The sequence below is a fragment of the Homo sapiens genome, chromosome Y, assembly GCF_000001405.40.
Source record: "Homo sapiens chromosome Y, GRCh38.p14 Primary Assembly".
Taxonomy (NCBI): domain Eukaryota; kingdom Metazoa; phylum Chordata; class Mammalia; order Primates; family Hominidae; genus Homo; species Homo sapiens.
This window is the reverse complement of record NC_000024.10, coordinates 804,250-824,433: the sequence shown is the minus strand read 5'-3', so window position 1 is coordinate 824,433 and position 20,184 is coordinate 804,250. Positions and strand designations below refer to the sequence as shown.

General features: G+C 43.5%; 10 annotated features.

The window, feature by feature from the left end:
• Positions 3,934 to 4,588: an enhancer, noted in NCBI's record as "ECR1 PCR-amplified reporter construct fragment". NCBI's record gives its function as "enhancer in human U2OS osteosarcoma cells" and the evidence as "EXISTENCE:reporter gene assay evidence [ECO:0000049][PMID:22791839]".
• Positions 3,949 to 4,469: an enhancer, noted in NCBI's record as "CNE7 PCR-amplified transgene fragment". NCBI's record gives its function as "enhancer in zebrafish embryos in day 2 skin, and in day 2 and day 3 brain, fin and cardiovascular system" and the evidence as "EXISTENCE:transgenic organism evidence [ECO:0001131][PMID:21731768]".
• Positions 3,990 to 4,980: a meiotic recombination region, noted in NCBI's record as "meiotic double-strand break mapped by DNA meiotic recombinase 1 chromatin immunoprecipitation followed by single-stranded DNA enrichment and sequencing on the Y chromosome in the germ cells of some male individuals with the PRDM9 A/A and PRDM9 A/B genotypes". NCBI's record gives the evidence for it as "EXISTENCE:chromatin immunoprecipitation-seq evidence [ECO:0000229][PMID:25395542]".
• Positions 3,990 to 5,081: a biological region, named in NCBI's record as "SHOX downstream enhancer, distal recombination region". NCBI's record gives its function as "recombination_partner: LOC108251803".
• Positions 4,037 to 4,146: a conserved region, noted in NCBI's record as "conserved region; CRCNE00011102 more deeply conserved sub-region". NCBI's record gives the evidence for it as "EXISTENCE:sequence alignment evidence [ECO:0000200][PMID:21731768]".
• Positions 4,175 to 5,081: a meiotic recombination region, noted in NCBI's record as "meiotic double-strand break mapped by DNA meiotic recombinase 1 chromatin immunoprecipitation followed by single-stranded DNA enrichment and sequencing on the X chromosome in the germ cells of some male individuals with the PRDM9 A/A genotype". NCBI's record gives the evidence for it as "EXISTENCE:chromatin immunoprecipitation-seq evidence [ECO:0000229][PMID:25395542]".
• Positions 4,214 to 4,385: a conserved region, noted in NCBI's record as "conserved region; CRCNE00011101 more deeply conserved sub-region". NCBI's record gives the evidence for it as "EXISTENCE:sequence alignment evidence [ECO:0000200][PMID:21731768]".
• Positions 4,619 to 4,620: a chromosome breakpoint, noted in NCBI's record as "distal breakpoint sub-region, recombines with the proximal breakpoint sub-region within the SHOX downstream enhancer, proximal recombination region, resulting in a recurrent 47.5 kb deletion". NCBI's record gives the evidence for it as "EXISTENCE:nucleotide sequencing assay evidence [ECO:0000219][PMID:22791839]".
• Positions 18,809 to 19,305: an enhancer, noted in NCBI's record as "CNE6 PCR-amplified transgene fragment". NCBI's record gives its function as "enhancer in diverse tissues in zebrafish embryos, especially heart and ear at day 2, and muscle, ear, eye and heart at day 3" and the evidence as "EXISTENCE:transgenic organism evidence [ECO:0001131][PMID:21731768]".
• Positions 18,972 to 19,060: a conserved region, noted in NCBI's record as "conserved region; CRCNE00011100 more deeply conserved sub-region". NCBI's record gives the evidence for it as "EXISTENCE:sequence alignment evidence [ECO:0000200][PMID:21731768]".

Here is a 20,184-nt window from a genome sequence, read left to right as displayed (position 1 = left end):
CCACCTCAGCCTCCCAAAGTGCTGGGATTACAGGTGTGAGCCAGGATGCCTAGCGAAAGTTGTAATTTCTGATAACCTATTAATGATGTTGGGTGAGGCCTTACCGTATATATTGTATGGTGTCTCTGGTATTATATCTGATAGATGATAGTTATATTTACTTGGAAGCACCTAATTAAGAGGCAGTCAGTTGGTGCTTAAGTCAATGTTGTGAGGACCTTGGACCTATGTTTGCTGCTTCTCTGAGAGCTCCTTGTCCTCTTCTTTCTCATTCTCATAGTTAATAATAACGTATTGTATGTTTCAAAATTGCTGAAAGAGTCGATTTTAAATGCTCTTACCTCCTAAAGATGAGACGTATGTGAGGTGATGCATTTGTTAATGAGCTTGATCTAACCATTCCACATCCTATGCACGTATCAAAACATTGCATGGTGCTCTAGAAATGTATATAATTATTATTTGTCAATCACAAGGAAATAGTATTCAGCTGGAAAAAAAAACAAAAAACAATGAGGTCCTGGCCGGGTGTGGTGGCTCACACCTGTAATCCCAGCACTTTGGGAAGTTGAGGCAGGTGGATCACCTGAGATTGGGAGTTCGAGACCAGCCTGGCCAACATGGAGAAACCCTGTCTCTACTAAAAAAAAAAAAAAAAAAGACAAAATTAGTCAGGCATGGTGGTGGGTGCCAGTAATCCCAGTTACTCAGGAGGCTCAAGCAGGAGAATTGCTTGAACCCGGGAGGTGGAAGTTGCAGTGTGTTCAGATTGAGCCATTGCATTCCAGCCTGGGCAACAACAGCAAAACTCTGTCTCAAAAAAAAAAAAAAAAAAAAAAAAAAAAAAAAAAAAAGAGATCCTGTCATTTGCAAAAACATGGATGGAAGAGGAGGTCACTATGTTCAGTGAAACAAGCTGGCACAGAGAGACACATTTCACATGTTCTCACACATGTGTGGGAGCTAAAAATTACACAAAAAACACTAAACTCAAGGACATGGAGAGGAGGATGATGGTGACCGAAGGCTGAGAAAAGTAGCAGGAAGGAAGGAAATGGTAGAGATGGTAATGGGTACAAAAATATCCTTATACCCCATAACTATATACACTGCTATGATGGACTGGAGAAAGAAAATGTGGCATATATACACCATGGAATACTATGCAGCCATGAAAAAGGATGAGTTCATGTCCTTTGCAGGGACATGGATGAAGCTGGAAACCATCATTCTCAGCAAACTCACACAGGAACAGAAAACCAAACACTGCATGTTCTCTCTCATAAGTGGGAGTTGAACAATGAGATCACATGGACACAGGGAGGGGAATGTCACACACTGGGGCCTGTCAGGGTCTGGGGGGCCAAGGGGTGGGATTGCATTAAGAGAAATACCTAATGTAGATGAGGGGTTGATGGGTGCAGCAAACCACCATGGCACGTGAATACCTATGCAACAAACCTGCACGTTCTGCACATGTATCCTAGAACTTAAAGTATAATTGAAAAAAGTTAAAAATGGAGTGAGGTAGAATGAAAAGGATCTCTTATTTGGTAGCACTGTAAGGTGACTATACTTAACAATAACTTATTGTATATTTTAAAATAACTAAAACAGTGGATTTGACATCATGAAATAAAATGATAAATGATAAATAAAATGAAATGATAAATGCTTGAGGTGGTAAATACCCCAGTCACCCTGGTTTGATCACGATACATTGTATGCTTGTATCAAAACAGCACATGCACGGCATAAATATATACAACTATTATGTACCCATTATCATTGATACATTTTTTAAAAAAAACTTTAAAAATTCTTCCTTGTGATTACCATGTGCTCCCAATGACCAGTGTGTTAGAAGCTCAGGATAAAATGATTTAAAAAATTAAGTAAGGCCAGGCATGGTGGCTCAGGCCGATAATCCCAGCACTTTGGGAGGTCAAGGCACATGGATCACTTGAGGTCAGGAGTTTGAGACCAGCCTGGCCAACATGGTGAAACCCCGTCTCTACTAAAAATACAAAAATTAGCTGGGCGTGGTGGCGGGTGCCTGTAATCCCAGCTCCTTGGGAGGCTGAGGCGGGAGAATCACCTGAGCCTGGGAGGCAGAGGTTGCAGTGAGCCAAGATTGCACCACTGCACTCCAGCGTGGGTGACACAGCGAGACTCTCTCTTAAAAATAAAACAAAACAAAAATTAAATAAATAACCCTCCCCCTTCCAATCTGATCTCCTTTCTAAACTCCTCTTGACTGATTTTTGAAACAGAAAAAAAAGGATTTTTTTCCCACCTGGCAATTACTATTATATTTTCTTAATCTTTTAGTGAAATTACAAAATACTTCCCTCTCATTCTCTAAATTGCACTGAGCTATTTATGGTGGGAAATGACCTGAGGAACCGCTGTTGCCTGGCCCTTCTCCGTGTTAAACAGCTTCTTGCCAAATCTCAAGCTAGACCAAGCTTTTCATTCTGCATAGAGGGCCCTTGGGGTTTCCCAGAAAAAAATGCAGACATTTATGGAAAATAATATGGCTTGATTATTCTGGACCGCAATTCTGAATGTATCATAAGAAAAGAAAATTCAATCTTTCAGGATCTTTTTTGTTTTTTGTTTTTACTGCAATTGGACTACGAGGATAAGCATTTTTTGCATTGTTACGAACTGTTTTATGTCCACTGGGGACGAATTATGTATAACATGGGAATGGAGGCTAAGACCATGTTGTACAAACATTCCAGATAGGAGGTATTTGCCAAGTCTCTGCCTGGGATGATGAGGTTTTTCTTTGCATTGGAGACATTCTGCAGCCCACACTGATACAAAAATGCATTTTCAATGTTGAAGTGATCCATTTGCCATCCCTGGACTTGCAGAGAGGAAGCTGACACAGGCGGCAGCCCCCTGACGTCTTATGGACTCCAAGACTTAGCAGGGACGTGCAGGGCTGTGAAGTCCAACGTCTGACCCTTGCTTGGAACCTGCCTTTGGTTTTCTCTGGGTGGGACACAGGGGTCTCTGGGGTATGTCCAACGGAAGGAAACTCGCCTTCTCATTAAACCCTGTCTCTACTAAAATACATTTCACCCTGGTCATTAAAAGCCATTTCACCCTCACACAACTCTGGCATTGAGACATCTCTTCTTCCATATTGACCTGAAATTGGGCTCCCCAGGTGCATCATGCTTTGCTTTGGCATATTAGAATGGGTCTTTCTCATGGTAGACTTGATTTTCTGTCCTTGCGATGGTTTGCTGAGAATGATGGTTTCCAGCTTCATCCATGAGATCTCAGAATGTGATGATGCATGCCTTCAAATATTTTTAAAAAATTGAAAGATTATGGGATAAGGGCTGGGCGCAGTGGCTTATGCCTGTCATCCCAGCACTTTGGGAGGCCGAGGCGGGCGGATCACCTGAGGTCAGGAGTTCGAGACCAGCCTGGCCAACATGGTGAAACCCCGTCCCTACTAAAAACACAAAAATTGGCCGGGTGTGGTGGCGGGCGCCTGTAATCCCAGCTACTCGGGAGGCTGAGGCAGGAGAATCGCTTGAACCAGGGAGGTGGAGGTTGCAGGGAGCCAAGATCGTGCCACTGCACTCCAGCCTGGGCGACAGAATGAGAGTCCGTCTCAAAAGCAAAAGAAGTCAGCTTGGACCTAAGTCAAGGTGGACGGTCTCAACACAGGTAACCCAGTTATGATGAGTCTGTTACACCTGCTATTACAGCAGCGTGTGGAGAGAGACTTTTCCTCCCACAGACACCCAAGGAACGGCCCCAGGTGTCCCAAACAACCTTCGTACCCCAGCTGCCCAGAGCCATCTCTTAGCAATCCCTGCTTGCCTTGCTTTGTTTGCAAACCCCACAACCAGCAGCGCAGCAAATCGGGGTTCCCATAAGGCTCCCACAACCTCCCTGTGTGCCTCTCTAACGGCTCACATGAAACTGCACAGACCAGGTCTCCTGTTTCATGTTTCCAACGGACGTCTCATCCGGGGGCCGAGGCTGTGCTTTAATCACTCCTAATACGATAAAGTGGCACTTGGAAATATGATTAACCTCATCTGTCTAGATTTGGGGCTAATAGACCATCCCTGGCACATTGTCTTGTACCTGGCAGTTATGCATATACTTATTTATTAGTCTACTCCTCCACGGAAGGGGGAAAAAATACATTCTAAAGGAAGACGCACAGCAGCCCCCTCGTACGTGGCTGCAAGGTGAGGAGGGCAGTAATTAAATGTCAGGCTTGACAGATTAAAATTATGAAATTTAAAATCACCGCGGAGCTCTTTGTCATTGTCAAATTAGAAGTCAGGGAGATGAGGAGTCGGTGGAGGGAGCCGCGTAATGGATTGAATGGGAATGGGGTACAGCAGGCAGTTTGGCTGAATCCACATCAGCCCGGAGTTCAGATCAGAAGCGGTGGGTAAGTGGGGTGCAGCGGGGTGAGCTGCAGCCTCCAGCGTTGGAAACAGGAGCCTATATATCCACCCGGGGACCAGGAGGATTCTTTTGCCTTGAAAGACGGGCAAAAGGTACAGTCCCTACCAGGATGATGTGTAGACGCAGATGGACAAGGGGCAAACCCCCCTGTCTCCGTTTACAAGGGAGTGTGGAGAGCAGGTTTCACAGCATCTTACAGTAACAATGTCATATCCCGATTTTGATTCCATACCATTCAATACCCCTGCTATGGAACCAGGCATAACCGTAACGCTAAATATCCCGATCGGCTATTTAAAAGGACAAACCGAAGCCTGGGCAACACAGTGAGACCCCGTCTCTACCTGAAAGAAAAAAAAAATTAGCCAGGCACAGTGGCTGACACCTGTAATCCCAGCACTTTGGGAGGCCTGAGGCAGGAGGATTGCTTGAGCCCGGGAGTTCGAGACCAACCTGGGTACCATAGTGAAACCTCAATGTTAAAATTATCATAAAATTAGCCAGGAGTGGTATAAATTATAATTATAATTTATTATTATAATTATAATATAATTTTATTATATAAAATATATAATATAATTTATAAATATAATTATAAAATTATTATAATTATAATTATAATTATTATCAAATTATTATAATGATTATAATTGTAAAATTATTATAAATTATAATTATAACATTATTATAATTATAACAATAATAATTATAATTATAACATTATTATTAATTATAATTATAATGATTATAAAATTATTATAAAATCTCGGCTCAATGCAACCTCTGTCTCCCTGTTTCAATTAGCCAGGAGTGGTGCATGCCTGTAATCCCAGCTACTCAGGAGGCTGAGGCAGGAGAATTGCTTGAACCCAGGAGGTGGAGGCTGCAGTGAGTCAAGGTTGTGCCACTGCACTCCAGCCTGGGCGACAGAGCAAGACTCCGTCTCAAATAAATAAATAAATAAACATCACACCTGTAATCCCAGCACTTTGGGAGGCCTGAGGCAGGAGGATTGCTTGAGCCAGGGAGTTCGAGACCAGCCTGGGTACCATACTGAAACCTCAATGTTAAAATTATTATAAAATTAGCCAGGAGTGGTATAAATTATAATTTATAATTATAATTATAATATAATTTTATTATATAAAATATATAATTTATAAATATAATTATAAAATTATTATAAATTATAATTATAATTATAATAAAATTATAAATATTATTATAAATTATAATTATAATTATAATAAAATTATAAATATTATTATAAATTATAATTATAATAAAATTATAAATATAATTATAATTATAACATTATTATAATTAGAATTATAATTATAACATTATTATAACTATAATTATAACATTATTATAACTATAATTATAACATTATGATTATAATTATAACATTATTATAATTATAATTATAACATTATTATAATTATAATTATAACATTATTATAATTATAATTATAACATTATTATAATTATAACATTATTATAATTATAATTATAATTATAACATTATTATAATTATAACATTATTATAATTATAATTATAATTATAACATTATTATAATTATAATTATAATTATAATTATAACATTATTATAATTATAATTATAATTATAATTATAACATTATTATAATTATAATTATAATTATAATTATAACATTATTATAATTATAATTATAATTATAACATTATTATAATTATAATAATAATAATTATGATTATAACATTATGCTAAATTATAATTATAATAATTATAAAATTATTATAAAATCTCGGGTCACTGCAACCTGTGTCTCCCAGTTTCAATTAGCCAGGAGTGGTGCGTGCCTGTAATCCCAGCTACTCAGGAGGCTGAGATGGGAGGATTGCTTCACCCCAGGAATTTGAGGCTGCAATGAGCCGTGATCGAGCCACTGCACTCCAGCCCGGGGGACAGAGTAAGACCTTGTCTCAAACAAAATAGAATGAAATAAAAATAAAATTAAATAATGAAATAAAATACTAATACAATCAAAGATAAAATAAATAAATAAAATAATACATTAAATAAAATGTTAATAAAATAAAATATGAAATAAATAAATGAAATGAAATAAAAGAACCAGCCCAGGTGGGTGGCTGGTAGCACCTGTTCCGAAAGATTCTGGACATGCTAAACTTTCTAGGCGTTGATTTATAAAATAGGCATCATCCACCGGGCGTGGTGGCTCATGGCTGTCATCCCAGCACTTTGGGAGGCCGAGGCGGGTGGATCACTTGAGGTCGGGAGTTCGAGACCAGCCTGGCCAACATGGTGAAACCCCATCTCTACTAAAAATAGAAAAATTAGCCGGGCGTGGTGGCGGGTGCCTGTAATTCCAGCTACTCGGGAGGCTGAGGCAGGAGAATCACTTGAACCTGGGAGGCGGAGGTTGCAGTGAGCCAAGATCACACCATCACACTGCAGCCTGGGAGACAGAGCGAGACTCATCTCAAATAAATAAACAAAAATAAAAATAAAGGCTGGACGTGGTGGCTCATGCCTGTAATCTCAGCAATTTGGGAGGCCAAGGCAGGCAGATCAGCAGGTTGGGAGTTCAAAACCAGCCTGGCCTACATGGTGAAACCCTGTCTCTACTAAAAACACAAAAATTAGCTGGGCGTGGTGCCGGGTGCCTGTCATCCCAGCTACTCTGGAGGCTGAGGCAGGAGAATCGTTTGAACCCGGGAGACAGAGATTGCAGTGAGTCACGATCGTGCCATTGCACTCCAGCCTGGGTGACAGCACGAGACTCCATCTCAAATAAATAAATAAATATAAAAAAAGTAAAACAGACATCAACAGCCTCTTGGGGAGACCCCGAGGCAGTGCCGCCGTGCACGGTTCAACATCACAAGATTCAGGCTATGCTGTAGTTAATGTCCCCACCACAAAGGTAAGTACCTCGAGCCCCTCATCCCTCTGGCGATGAAGCCCCCCAGTCCCACCTCTCCCAGTAACGAGATGGGAGCGTCTCTCACGCTCATCGGCCAATACAGGTGCAAGATACGCGGAACCCGCTTGAGAATAATTCAGCAGCTTTAACAGGTGAAATATCACTTTCTTTCCAGAAGAGCTTTCGGATTAAAGGAAAACCGAACCGGGAAACCCAAAGTCTCCCTGTAGTTGTGTGTACAAATAGCCCTGAGCCCAAGGACTGGAGATTCTATTTATTTATTATTTATTTATTTTATGTTATTTTTTATTTTGAGATGGAGTCTCTCACTGTCTCCCAGGCTGCAGTGCAATGGCACAACCTCGGCTCACTGCAACCTCCCCGCCTCCCGGGTTCAAGCCATTTTTCCGCCTCAGCCTCCCAAGCAGCTGGGATTACAGGCGTGCACGGCCACACCCGGCTAATTGTTTTGTATTTTTTAGTAGAGACGGGGGTTTCACTACGTTGGCCAGACTGGTCTCGAACTCCTGACCTCGGGATCTGCCCGCCTCAGCCTCCCAAAAGTGCTGGGATTACAGGTGTGGTGTTTATTTATTTATTTATTTGAGATGGAGACTCGCTCTGTCGCCCAGGCTGGAGTGCAGTGGCGCAACCTTGGCTCACCACAGCCTCCTCCTCCTGGGTTCAAGCAATTCTCCTGCCTCAGCCTCCCGAGTAGCTGGGATGACAGGCACATGCACCACCGCTCTTTGTGCTCTGGTATTTCTTTGAGTCTGTTTTTAGTTATTTTGGGTGCACACAGCCAGGAGTGAGATCATGCGATCGTAGGATAAGTCTATGTTTCATTTTTTGGTGAGGTGCATGCCATTTCCCACAGCGGCTGTGCCATTTTACCCTCCAGCAGTAGACAGGACTTCCAGTTTCTCCACATTCTCATCAACGCTTGCTAATATTGCCTCAACTATCCTTCTTGCCATCCTCGTGGGTGTGAGGCCGTCTCTCAACGCGGTTTTGACGTCAGTAATGGTAAGTGATGCTGGGCATCTCTGCATGCCCTTCTTGGCCATTTCTTTATCTTCTTTTGGAGAAATGTCTATTTTAGTTCTTTGCCTACTTTTTAATTGGGTTGTTTGTCCTTTTGATGTTGAGGGGTTTTGTTTGTTTGTTTTTGTTTCTTTGTTTGTTTTCTTTGAGATGGAGTCTCGCTCCATCGCCCAGGCTGGAGTGCAGTGGTGCGATCTCCACTCACTGCAACCTCCGCCTCCCAGGTTCAAGTGGTTTTCCTGCCTCAGCCTCCCGAGTAGCTCGGATTACAGGCGCCCGCCACCATGCCTGGCTAATTATTGTATTTTTAGTAGAGTCGGGATTTCACCATGCTGGCCAGGCTGGTCTCGAACTCCTGACCTCAGGTGATCCTCCCGCCTCAGCCTCCAAAAGTGCTGGGATTATAGGAGTGAGCCACAGCGCCCAGCCTTGCTGTTGAGTTTTAATAGATCCTTTTAAGCTTAGCTTTTGACCTTCCAGAGTAATTCTCTGTTCGTAGAAGATTTGTTTTTCTTCTACTGTAGCCGCTTCAGGGCCTCTGTCAAAAGACCAAAAACAAAAAAAAAAAAATGCAAGTTCATAAATTCCTGGAGCTGGAAGCCCATTTGAGGTTTGTAGTCCAAACCCTTCACTTCAGGGCATCAGAGGTTGGAGTAAATGCAATCAAACAGAGCCCAAAGCAACGTGGAAGAAACTGCCTGTTTAATTTCTGCTTTCTTCTCTCTTCCAGCAAATGAAAATTCCCTTTCTGTGATAATTACAAGAATCAGCTGTCACTCTCTGTATTAGCTTAAAGTGTCCCCTAAAACACACCGTTGCCAGGACACTATTTGTAACCTTAATTAAAAATAAGGTGTTTACAGACACGTTAAATTCAGGATTTCAAGTTGAGAGTGTCCTGAATTAGATGGACTCTGCCGTCATTTCTATGTGGCCTCCTCCTCTGTGTCTGTGTCTCCTCCTCTGTCTCCTACAGGGATGCTTGTTATTGGAATTAGAGCCCACCCTAATCCAAGACGATTTCCTCTCAAGATCCTTAACTAATTATATGTGCAAAGACCCTATTTCCAAATGCGATCTCATTCCAGGTCCTGGGAGTTAGGACATGAATACGTCTTTCCGACAGCCACTGTTCAATCCATTACAATTGTATCCAGTTCCTTCTGGAGGCCCCAGGGGAGGGTCCTTCCTGCCTCTCCCAGCTCCTGGGGGCTCCAGGCATCCCTCGGCTTGTGGCCGCATCACTCCAGTCTCTGCCTCCGTCTCCTTGTGGCCTTCTCCTCTGTGTCTGTGTCTCCTCCTCTGTCTCCTACAGGGATGCTTGTTATTGGAATTAGAGCCCACCCTAATCCAAGACGATTTCCTCTCAAGATCCTTAACTAATTATATGTGCAAAGACCCTATTTCCAAATGCGATCTCATTCCAGGTCCTGGGAGTTAGGACATGAATACGTCTTTCCGACAGCCACTGTTCAATCCATTACAATTGTATCCAGTTCCTTCTGGAGGCCCCAGGGGAGGGTCCTTCCTGCCTCTCCCAGCTCCTGGGGGCTCCAGGCATCCCTCGGCTTGTGGACGCATCACTCCAGTCTCTGCCTCCGTCTCCTTGTGGCCTTCTCCTCTGTGTCTGTGTCTCCTCCTCTGTCTCCTACAGGGATGCTTGTTATTGGAATTAGAGCCCACCCTAATCCAAGACGATTTCCTCTCAAGATCCTTAACTAATTATATGTGCAAAGACCCTATTTCCAAATGCGATCTCATTCCAGGTTCTGGGGGTTAGGACATGAACGTGTCTATCTCATGGCCACTGTTCAATCCATTACAACTCTGTCTAGTTCCTTCTGGAGGCTCTAGTGGAGGATCCTTTCTGCCTTTCCCAGCTCCTGGGGGCTCCAGGCGTCCCTGGGCTTGTGGCCGCATCACTCCAGTCTCTGCCTCCGTCTCCACGTGGCCTTCTCCTCTGTGTCTGTGTCTCTTCTTCTGTCTCCCAGAAGGACACCTGCCATTGGATGTAGAGTCCACCCAGATAATCCAGGATAATTCTTCATCTCAAGATTCTTCATTCATCATGTCTGCAAAGACGCTTTTTACCACGTAAGTGAACATTCTCTGCTTCTTAGGGATTAGGACAAGGATCTATTTCTCCAGGTCATCAACATTCAGCCTACTTCAGTGGCCAACCAAGATGGTGCCTTCAGGAGATGGTGGAAGAAAGAGTTTGGCTTTGATGGGTCAAACACTCAGAGAAGGCAACGTTGTCATCAGCTGGAAAAGAGAGGTTTAGAATTCAGATGTGGTTCCTGCTGTTGAAGACTCCTTGAAAAAAAAAATACTAAGAAAATTTTTTAAAAAGCACTTCGGGAGGTCGAGGCAGGTGAATCACCTGAGGTCAGGAGTTCGAGACCAGCCTGGTCAACATGGCAAAACCCCATCTCTAATAAAAATACAAAAATTAGCCAGGCATGGTGGCAGGCGCCTGTAATCCCCACTACTCAAGAAGCTGAAGCAGGAAAATTGCATGAACCCGGAGGCAGAGGTTGCAGTGAGCTGAGATCACACCATTGCACTCCAGCTTGGGTGAAAGAGCAAGACTCCATCTCAAAAAAAAAAAAAAAGAAAGAAAGAAAAAAGAAATCAGATGTTGGGAGCAGGCTAGAGAAAGACCCCAAGTTTTCTCTCTGAGCCATTTTGTACATCTGTCTTACAATCCTGCAGTCTCTTATCAATGAAATCCATGCATCTTCTCCACCCAGCCAGGGTATTGTCTGGGACTCTGTATTCCAGTTTCACTGGTTCTCCTCTCTTTGGTCTTCATGACATCTTATATTTTATCTTAGCTCTGAGAGCCAGCCCATGGCTTCGTTTTCAGAGGTTCACTCCCTTCAACAGACAACCATATCCATTGCACCAACGAACACCCAAAGTGAAGTCAAATTCTTCAACTTTTCATTCTCTACTAATATGTGAAAGTAAAGGCAGGGACAAGACACAGGAGAATATCTCAGCTATAGGAAAACCTCTGAGCAGAAGAGTTCACCTACTGAAGACCACCATTTCAGTGCACTTTCATCTTTTTATCAAAGTCCTGGTAATAGAGCGGCCCAACAGTGAAGAGCTGTTGGCTGAGTTTTAATCCCCGTGTGTGCTTGAAAATGTCTGAGCTAATTTACATGCTTTTCAAACTCGCATGGATTTCTGTCTCAACCCTATCCCAGTGAATCAGAATTTGTGGTTTTTTAATCTCACAAAGATGACTAAGAATGGGTTCGAATGAATTATGTTGTGGGGTTTTTGTTTGTTTGTTTGTTTGTTTTGCTTGTTGAGACAAACTCTCACACTGTCCCCCAGGCTGGAGTGCAGTGGCATGATCTCAGCTCACTGCAACCTCCGCCTCCCAGGTTCAAGCGATTCTCCTGCCTCAGCCTCCCGGGTACCTGAGATTACAGGTGCGCACCAGCACACTCAGCTAATTTTTGTACTTTTAGTAGAGACGGGGTTTCACCATGTTGGTGAGGCTGGTCTCAAACTCCTGACCTCAGGTGATCCTCCCACCTCAGCCTCCAAAGTGCTGGGATGACAGGCATGAGCCACGTCACCCAGCTTGTATGCTGCGTTTTTAACCTGGGCTCATCCTAAAACTGATTTTCGAGTTGTTTTCTTTCTTGGTCATTTTCTACATCTGTGCTTTGCATTTTATGAGTTTCTTTAGTGAGGCCCCAAATCCAAGACTGCTCGTGAAAATAGAGTAGGTAGTCTCCAACCTCTCAGGTTAAATTGCTAAACTCTCCACTAGAGAACCAGGAGTATATTTATTTCCTTGCTGACTCTGTCCTGAGGATGGGTGTGTCCACCCCACCGACTCTCACCCCCTCCAGTCATGAAACTGAAGAGAAACACCATGATTTTGAGACTCATCCAAGAGGAATTCAGTATTAGGTTGAGATAGAAATGTCCCTTGAGATGCAGAAATATACCAAAGAGCCAGAGGCAAACTTTCTCCCCAAGAACCATTTGCAAAGAGGCCTCCTTCTGGAAGAAGGAGGACAAAATTCGTGCCTTCCCTCAGGCTGGTCCCCAGAATCAGCAGATGCCACGTCCTGGAAAACAATCATTGTGTTGTTGACCCAAATCTCAACTTAAGTTTCAGCATCCCCAGGGGTAAGGTCCTAGTGCATTCTACTAAATGTAGGGAATTTTTTCATGAAGGTCTATCTATCTGTCTATCTATCTATCTATCTATCTATCTATCTATCTATCTATCTATCATCTATCTATTGATCGATCTATCCATCCATCCATCCATCCATCCATCCATCCATCCATCCATCATGTCTATCTAGTATCTATCTGTTCATCTATCCATGTATCTATCTGTTCATCCACCATCACATCTATGTATCTATCTATTCATCCACTCATATCCTATTATCTATCTATCATCTATCTGTCTATTCATCCACTCATATCCTATTATCTATCATCTATCTATCTATCTACCTATCTATCAATCTATGTGTCTATCTATCTACCTATGTAGCCATCCACCCATCTATTATCTACGTATTCATACATTCACATCCTATTATCTATCATTTGTCTATTCATTCACTAACATTCTATCATCTATCATTTATCTATTCATCCACTCACATTCTATCATCTGTATATCTATCTTTTATCCATTACATCCTATTATCTATGTATCTATTTATGTATCTATCTTATCTATATATTATCTATCTATCTATCATCTATCAATTCATCCACTCACATTCTATCATCTTTCTGTCTATCTATCTATTAATAACTATCCATCTATTCATCTATCATCTGTCTACTATCTGTCATATCTATTAAAAGAAATCCATATATCATCTCTCTATCTATTGATCAATCTATCAATCTATTCATCCATCCATCTATCCATCCACCCATCACATCTGTCTAGTATCTATCTATTCACCTATCCATATATCTATCTATCTGTTCATCCACCTATCCACCCACCATCACATCTATCTATCCATCTATCTATTCATCCACTAACATCCTATCATCTGTTTATCTATCTATTCATCCACTCATATCCTATTATCTATCCATCCATCCATCTGTTATCTGTCTATTCATACATTCACATCCTTTTATCTATCTTTTATCTATTCATCCACGCACATTCTATCATCTGTGCCTCTATCTTTTATCCATTACATCCTATCATGTATTTATGTATGTATATATGTACGTATGTATGTATCTATCTATCATCTATCTATTCATCTACTCACATTCCATCATCTGCCTATCTGTCTATCTAATCTACATCTATCTACTACCTTCCTATCATCTACCTATTATCTGTCTATCTATCACCTATAGCTACCATCTATCTACTCTCTTTCATCTATCTATTTATCATCTACCTATTATCTATTTAGCTATGATCTAACTATCTTGCTACCCTTCTCATTCTTCGGTGAGTCCCCATAGAATCCCCTGTCCCCAAGAATCCTGGGGCATCATTGCAGCCAGGACAGGAGAGCCCCCGGAACGTTTAGAGTGGGGATGGTGGCCAAGGTGAGCAAGGAGCCTGAGGAAGAACTTACTGAGTGGTTGACCAGAAGACCGAACAATCAGTGTCAGCCCCTGAGGGATGCTTGGGATCCTGGGGCCATGCACGCACCCAGCCTTGATGGTTAGAGGTCAAGAGCCACTGAGAGAGTGTCTGTGTGTCTATATGTGTGTGCTCCAAAAAGGCAGGCATGCACCCTTCTCTACTGACAGATCCCAGCACTAACATACAACATCCAAGAGAAAGCTCATCCGCTTCAGTTCTTGGGGAAGAGGGAATGAAATGCCCGGTCATTGGTCCAATGAAGCTCTGGGACATGGGAATAGAACTGGCTCAAACTGGCAGGATGTGGTGGTGCATGCCTGTCATCCCAGCACTTTGGGAGGCTGAAGCAGGAGATCCTCTGAGTGTGAGACCAGACTGGGCAATGTAGCAAGACCCCACCTCTACAAAAAGTAAAAAATAAAAAATTAGCTGACTGTGGTGGCACAAGCCTGTAGTCCCAGCTACCCAGGAGGCTGAGGCAGGAGGACTGCTTGAGCCTGTGAGTTTGAGACCAGACTGGGCAATGTAGCAAGACCCCACCTCTACAAAAAGTAAAAAATAAAAAATTAGCTGACTTTGGTGGCACACTCCTGTAGTCCCAGCTACCCAGGAGGCTGAGGCAGGAGGACTGCTTGAGCCCAGGAGATTGAGGCTGCAGTGAGTTATAATTGCACCATTGCACTGTTGCCTGGGCAGCCTAGCCAGACCCTGTTTCAAAAATTTCTAAAAAAGCACTCTCCCAAATGGACAGCAAGAGGCTGGCACCTGTGTATACCCAGTTACAAAAGACTCTCTCTTTCCGAGATTTTTTTCCAACATCCAAACATACTCTCTCCACTGTATACCATCTTTTAATACGAAGAGAAGCTCGTTTGTATAAAATTAAAGTATATCATCGTGCAATAAACTTGTAAAACAAGAGCTCCTCTGTTCCTTGGGAGTTCAAACAAGCGGGGTCATCCGTACAGCCACATACTTTTAAATTTTGGTGGTCAAACTGTAAGTTTGCTTTCTGGGTGTGGGAGGCTGTGGGTGCCAGGAACTGCTGCTAATAAGGGGTAGTGGCCACGTCGAAGATGGCTGGTTAGATGGCTGGCGAGGGCCCTGCACAGATAGCAGATTCATTTCATTCGCGCTTAAATTGCCTTCTAAACAGGCAGAAACCTATGATTTAGCAAACAAAAATCACCATCCTCATCAGCATCGTAGGGCTGCGGTAGCAAAGTCCAATGCACAGATGGGTTTAAAACAGCAGGAATATGGCCGGGCGTGGTGGCTTACCCCTGTTATCCCAGCACTTTGGGAGGCCGAGGCGGGCGGATCAGGAGGTCAGGAGTTCGAGACCAGCCTGGCCAACATGGTGAAAACCCATCTCTACTAAAAACACAAAAAATTAGCCAGGCGTGGTGGCAGGCACCTATTAATCCCACATACTCAGGAGGCTGAGGCAGGAGAATCGCTTGAGCCTGGGAGGCAGAGGTTGCAGTGAGCAGAGATCACGCCACTGCACTCCAGCCTGGGTGACAGAAGCGAGACTCCATCTCAAAAAAACAAAACAACAACAACAAAGAATGCACGTGGTGTAAGACCTGATTAAGACCTGAAGTTTAATGTAGGACTGTTGCTAGCTAGTATTTATGATTCCAAAGACGTCTCTGCATATGTGGACCCGGTGAGTCTGTCATTCAAAAAGCCAGATGCGTCTTTTAATACGAAGAGAAGCTCGTTTGTATAAAATTAAAGATCTGGTAAGTCTATCCGTGTAACGTTGATTGCCCTAAGTACATATTTCTTTAATTTCTTGCTAGGCGTAAGTTTTTTATATGAGCTTCCCTATGATGTTTGATTTAGGAAATTGTATTAAAATAGGCGATAAGGATGTCCTCTAAGATTTGCTTGTTATTTTTTTTTACATGTCATTAAAATGATTGATAATTTAGGATACGGCGGGAGAATGTGTAAGATTAAACCTGAGGCCCTCTATAAATTAGAAGGTTTTACATAAGACATGATATGCCAGGCTGTCAAAAGCTACTTCCTACACAGCTTTGAATCTACAGACAAAGAGGTGCAGGGAGGGTGGGTCAGCACAACTAGAGACAGACAGTCAGTGCATCCTTCTGCAGATGGAGGCTCCCAGAGAGGCTGGGATGTGTGGCAGGAGACCCTCTCACCCAGCAAGGGGCCAAAGTGGTGAAACCCCATGTCTACTAAAAATACAAAAATTAGCCAGGCATGGTGGCACATGCCTGTAATCCCAGCTACTTGGGAGACTGAGGCAGGAGAATCACTTGAACCCGGGAGGTGGAGGTTGCAGGGAGCCGAGATCACACCACTGCACTCCAGCCTGGGCGACAGAGAGAGACTCCATCTCAAATAATAATAATACTATTAATATTAATAGTATTATTATAAAGTAAAAACCTTTTCTGTTTTTATTTTACTAATTGATTTATTTTATTTTTAATTTCATTATTTATTTATTATTTATTTATTTTTTATTATACTCATTATTTATTTGTAAGAAAGGAAGAAGGAAAGGAAAAGGGAAGAGAAGAAAGGAAAGAGGGAAGTATGGAAGGAAAGAGAAAGAGGGGAAGGAAGGAAGCAAGGAAGGAAGGAAGATTGGCTCAAGTTATCCTCCCACCTCATCCTCCCAGGTAGCTGGACTACAGGTGTGTGCCACTATTCTGGTTAATATTTGTTTATTGTTTTTGGTAGAGACAGGGTCTCACTGTGTTGTCCCGGCTGGTATTGAACTCCTGGGCTCAAGTGATCCTCCTGCCTCCACCTCCCAAAGTTTTTTTTTTTTTTTTTTTCAGAGTGCAGCCCACACCTCTGTGAAGACTTTGTAGATTTTGAGGTTTATGTATTTGACAGTCTACACCCACCATGTATATCCACCTATTTGTTCAAATAGAAAAAAACTTGAAATCTGGGCAACTGTCTCTAAGGAGAATTATCCGAGGGCATCGGCAATCCTTTCCTTAAATGCTTTGTTTCGTTTCAGATGGAGTTTCGCTCTGTTGCCCAGGCTGGCGTGCAGGAGTATGATCTCGGCTCACTGCAACGTCCACCTCCCAGGTTCAAGCAATTCTCCTGCCTCAGCCTCCCGAGTATCTGGGATTACAGGCACCCGCCACCAGGCGTGGCTAATGTTTGTATTTTTAGTAGAGACGGGGCTTCAGCATGTTGGCCAGGCTGGTCTCGAACTCCTGACTTCAAGTGATCCACCCACCTTGGCCTCCCAAAGTGCTGGGATGACAGGCGTGAGGCACTGCGCTCGGCCCCGTTTCCTTTAACTTTTACAATCCAGACTTACAGTGCAGCTACCGGGAGGATGAGGTGGGAGGATAACTTGAGCCAATCTTCCTTCCTCCATTCCTTCCCTCCTTCTTTCTTTCCTCCCTACTTTCTTTCCTTCCTTATTTCCTTCCTTCCTTCTTTCCTCAGACTTCAGGATAAGCCCACTCTCTCCATGCATCCAGCATTCTTGATTTTTGGATGCTGTGTCTGCAGAGCTGTGGTGGGAGATGGAACTCTGGCCCCAGGAGAAAATGCCCTGTGAGCCGGCAGGCGGGGTCAGCCGGTGTAGACCAGTCTTTGGCCTCCCCCCTTTCTCAAGCCCTCACTGACCGATATTTGCTGGAATATCTCTGTCTCACGCGTCCGTGTGAAGAGACCACCAAACAGGCTTTGTGTGAGCAATACAGCTTTTTAATCACCTGGGTGCAGGCGGGCTGTTTCCAAAAAGAGAGTCAGCAAAGGGTGGTGGGATTATCATTAGTTCTTATAGGTTTGGGGACAGGCGGTGGAGTTATAGGAGCAATGCTTTGGGGACAGGGGATGGATCTCAGAAAGTACATTCTGAAAGGTGGGGAGAATCGCAAAGAACCTTCTTAAGGGTTAGGGAGATTACAAAGAACCCTCTTGAGGGTAGGGGAGATTATAAACAACATTGGTCAGTTACGGTTGGGCAGAAACAAATCACAATGGTGGAATGTCAACAGTGAAGGCAGGAACTGGCCATTTTCACTTCTTTTGTGGATGTTCAGTTGCTTCAGGCCATCCGGATGTATGCGTGCAGGTCACAGGGGATATGATGGCTTAGCTCGGGCTCAGAGGCCTGACACTCTCTATTCCCCATGATCAGCTCAATGAGGACCTCCAACGATACCCAGGTCCCAATCTTTAGAAGCTACGAGCATGTGAGCACTCATAGCAACAGGTGCTTCCAGATGTGATTCAGTTACGGGCAGATGGACAGGTGACCTGGGATTATCCACGTGGGCCGATGGAATCCCAAGGGTCCTTGTGTGATGAAGACAGGCGGAGATTAGGAGACAGAAGAGGAAGAAGGAGAGGAGACGCGTAGCCAGGAGCCAAGGGTTGTGGGTTTCCTGTAGGACCCAGAAAACACCAAAGTACAGATTGTCTCCTGGAACCTGCAGAAGGAACTCAGTCCTGCACACCCGTTCACGGTAGCGCAGAGAGGCTGATTTGGGAGACGTGGCCTCCAGAACCATCATGCATTAAGAGCATTGGCTCTCTCTGAGTAAAGGGTGGCTGCCCTGTAGGTGCTCACAGTGTTTAGAAGAAACATCTGCGGATATTATATCGCAGGGATGGAAATCCGTCCTGGTAGGAAAAATCACTGCCTTTTCTCAGAGCTGGGATTCCTCCCCTGCAAATGGTAACAATAGCAGCTCACTCGCTGGGAGAACAAGTTAATCACCCACAGATAACTCCATCCCCCTCTTTTCCTACCCTAAGCCCTTCCTTCCCTTTTCTTTGTTTATCGTCACTAGCAGGGTTCAGAGTCCTGGCAAAAACAGGGTGTCAGTTGATTAGAGGAGGGTCAGCTTCTCCTCAGCAGCTTGCCGTCAAGAAATTAGCAAACCGGGTAGCTGCAATTCCGTAGAAACCCTCCAAAACGAAGCGGATGTAAAGTGACAAGATCCAATTAAATTTAATTACCCAAGCTGTATTTTCATTTTAACTGACACTTTTTATTAAGGGATCCCGCGCAGGAAAGCTAGCAACCTACAGCAAATTGCATCCCGGTAATACAGTTATCTTAGGCAAAATTCTGAGTATCTAATTTTCTAAAACGAAATTAGAGACAGGGGGTTTTGCAAAAGCTTTTCTTTGTTTCGACTCCGAAACAACGGCTTCTTGGGGGAATCTCTTCACCCTGTATTATATCAGAAGGAGCTTCCCTGCACCCCAGGAAAACGTATCCAGTGACAGTATGACGACGAGGTAACAGCATTATTTGCTTTCACCAGCCCGGTGTTCCAACACGCCGGTGATCACAAACAAACGACTTTCCACCGCATCTTTCTTGAAAGTGACTTTCCTTGAGAGGAAACAGGTGCATTTGAGTGGCAGCACGTTAATGTCACACACACACACACACACACACACACACACACACACACACACACACACAGGGATGAGGTTTCCCTTCCACATTTCCACCCCAATCCTCCTTGTCCTTGCACTAAACACAATACAATTCATTCAAACGGTCTTTTAAGGACAACCGCACATTCAGGCAGCGTTGACGTGACTTTTCAAAGTGGAAGTTGAGGCACTAACAGGCTTGACAAGGGAGATCGAATTGGGAAGGGCTGTCCCTTCCCTGGGACACTGTCCCTGGGGACAGTGAGAAGGAGAAAAAATTCGCAGTTGTGAAAGTTTACAGCTACTCGGGAGGCTGAGGCAGGAGAATCGCGTGAACCCAGGAGACAGAGGTTGCTGTGAGCCAAGATCATGCCACTGCCCTCCAGCCTGGGTGAGAGAAGAGACTCCATCTCAAAAAACACAAAACAAACAAAAGGCCAGGCCCGGTGGCTCACACCTGTAATCCCAGCACTTTGGGAGGCTGAGGTGGGTGGATCATCGGAAGTCAGGAGTTCGAGACCAGCCTGGCCAACAGGGCCAAACCCCGTCTCTACTAAAAAATCCAAAAAAAAAAAAAAAAAAAAAAAGAAATAGCTCGTGGAAAGTGGTTTCTTTTTTCATTTTTATTTTAGATTCGGGGGCACGTGTGCAGGATTGTTATATGGATATATTGTCTGAAGCGGAGGCTTGAGCTTCCATGGAACACATCCCTTAAATAGTGAGCGTAGCATCAG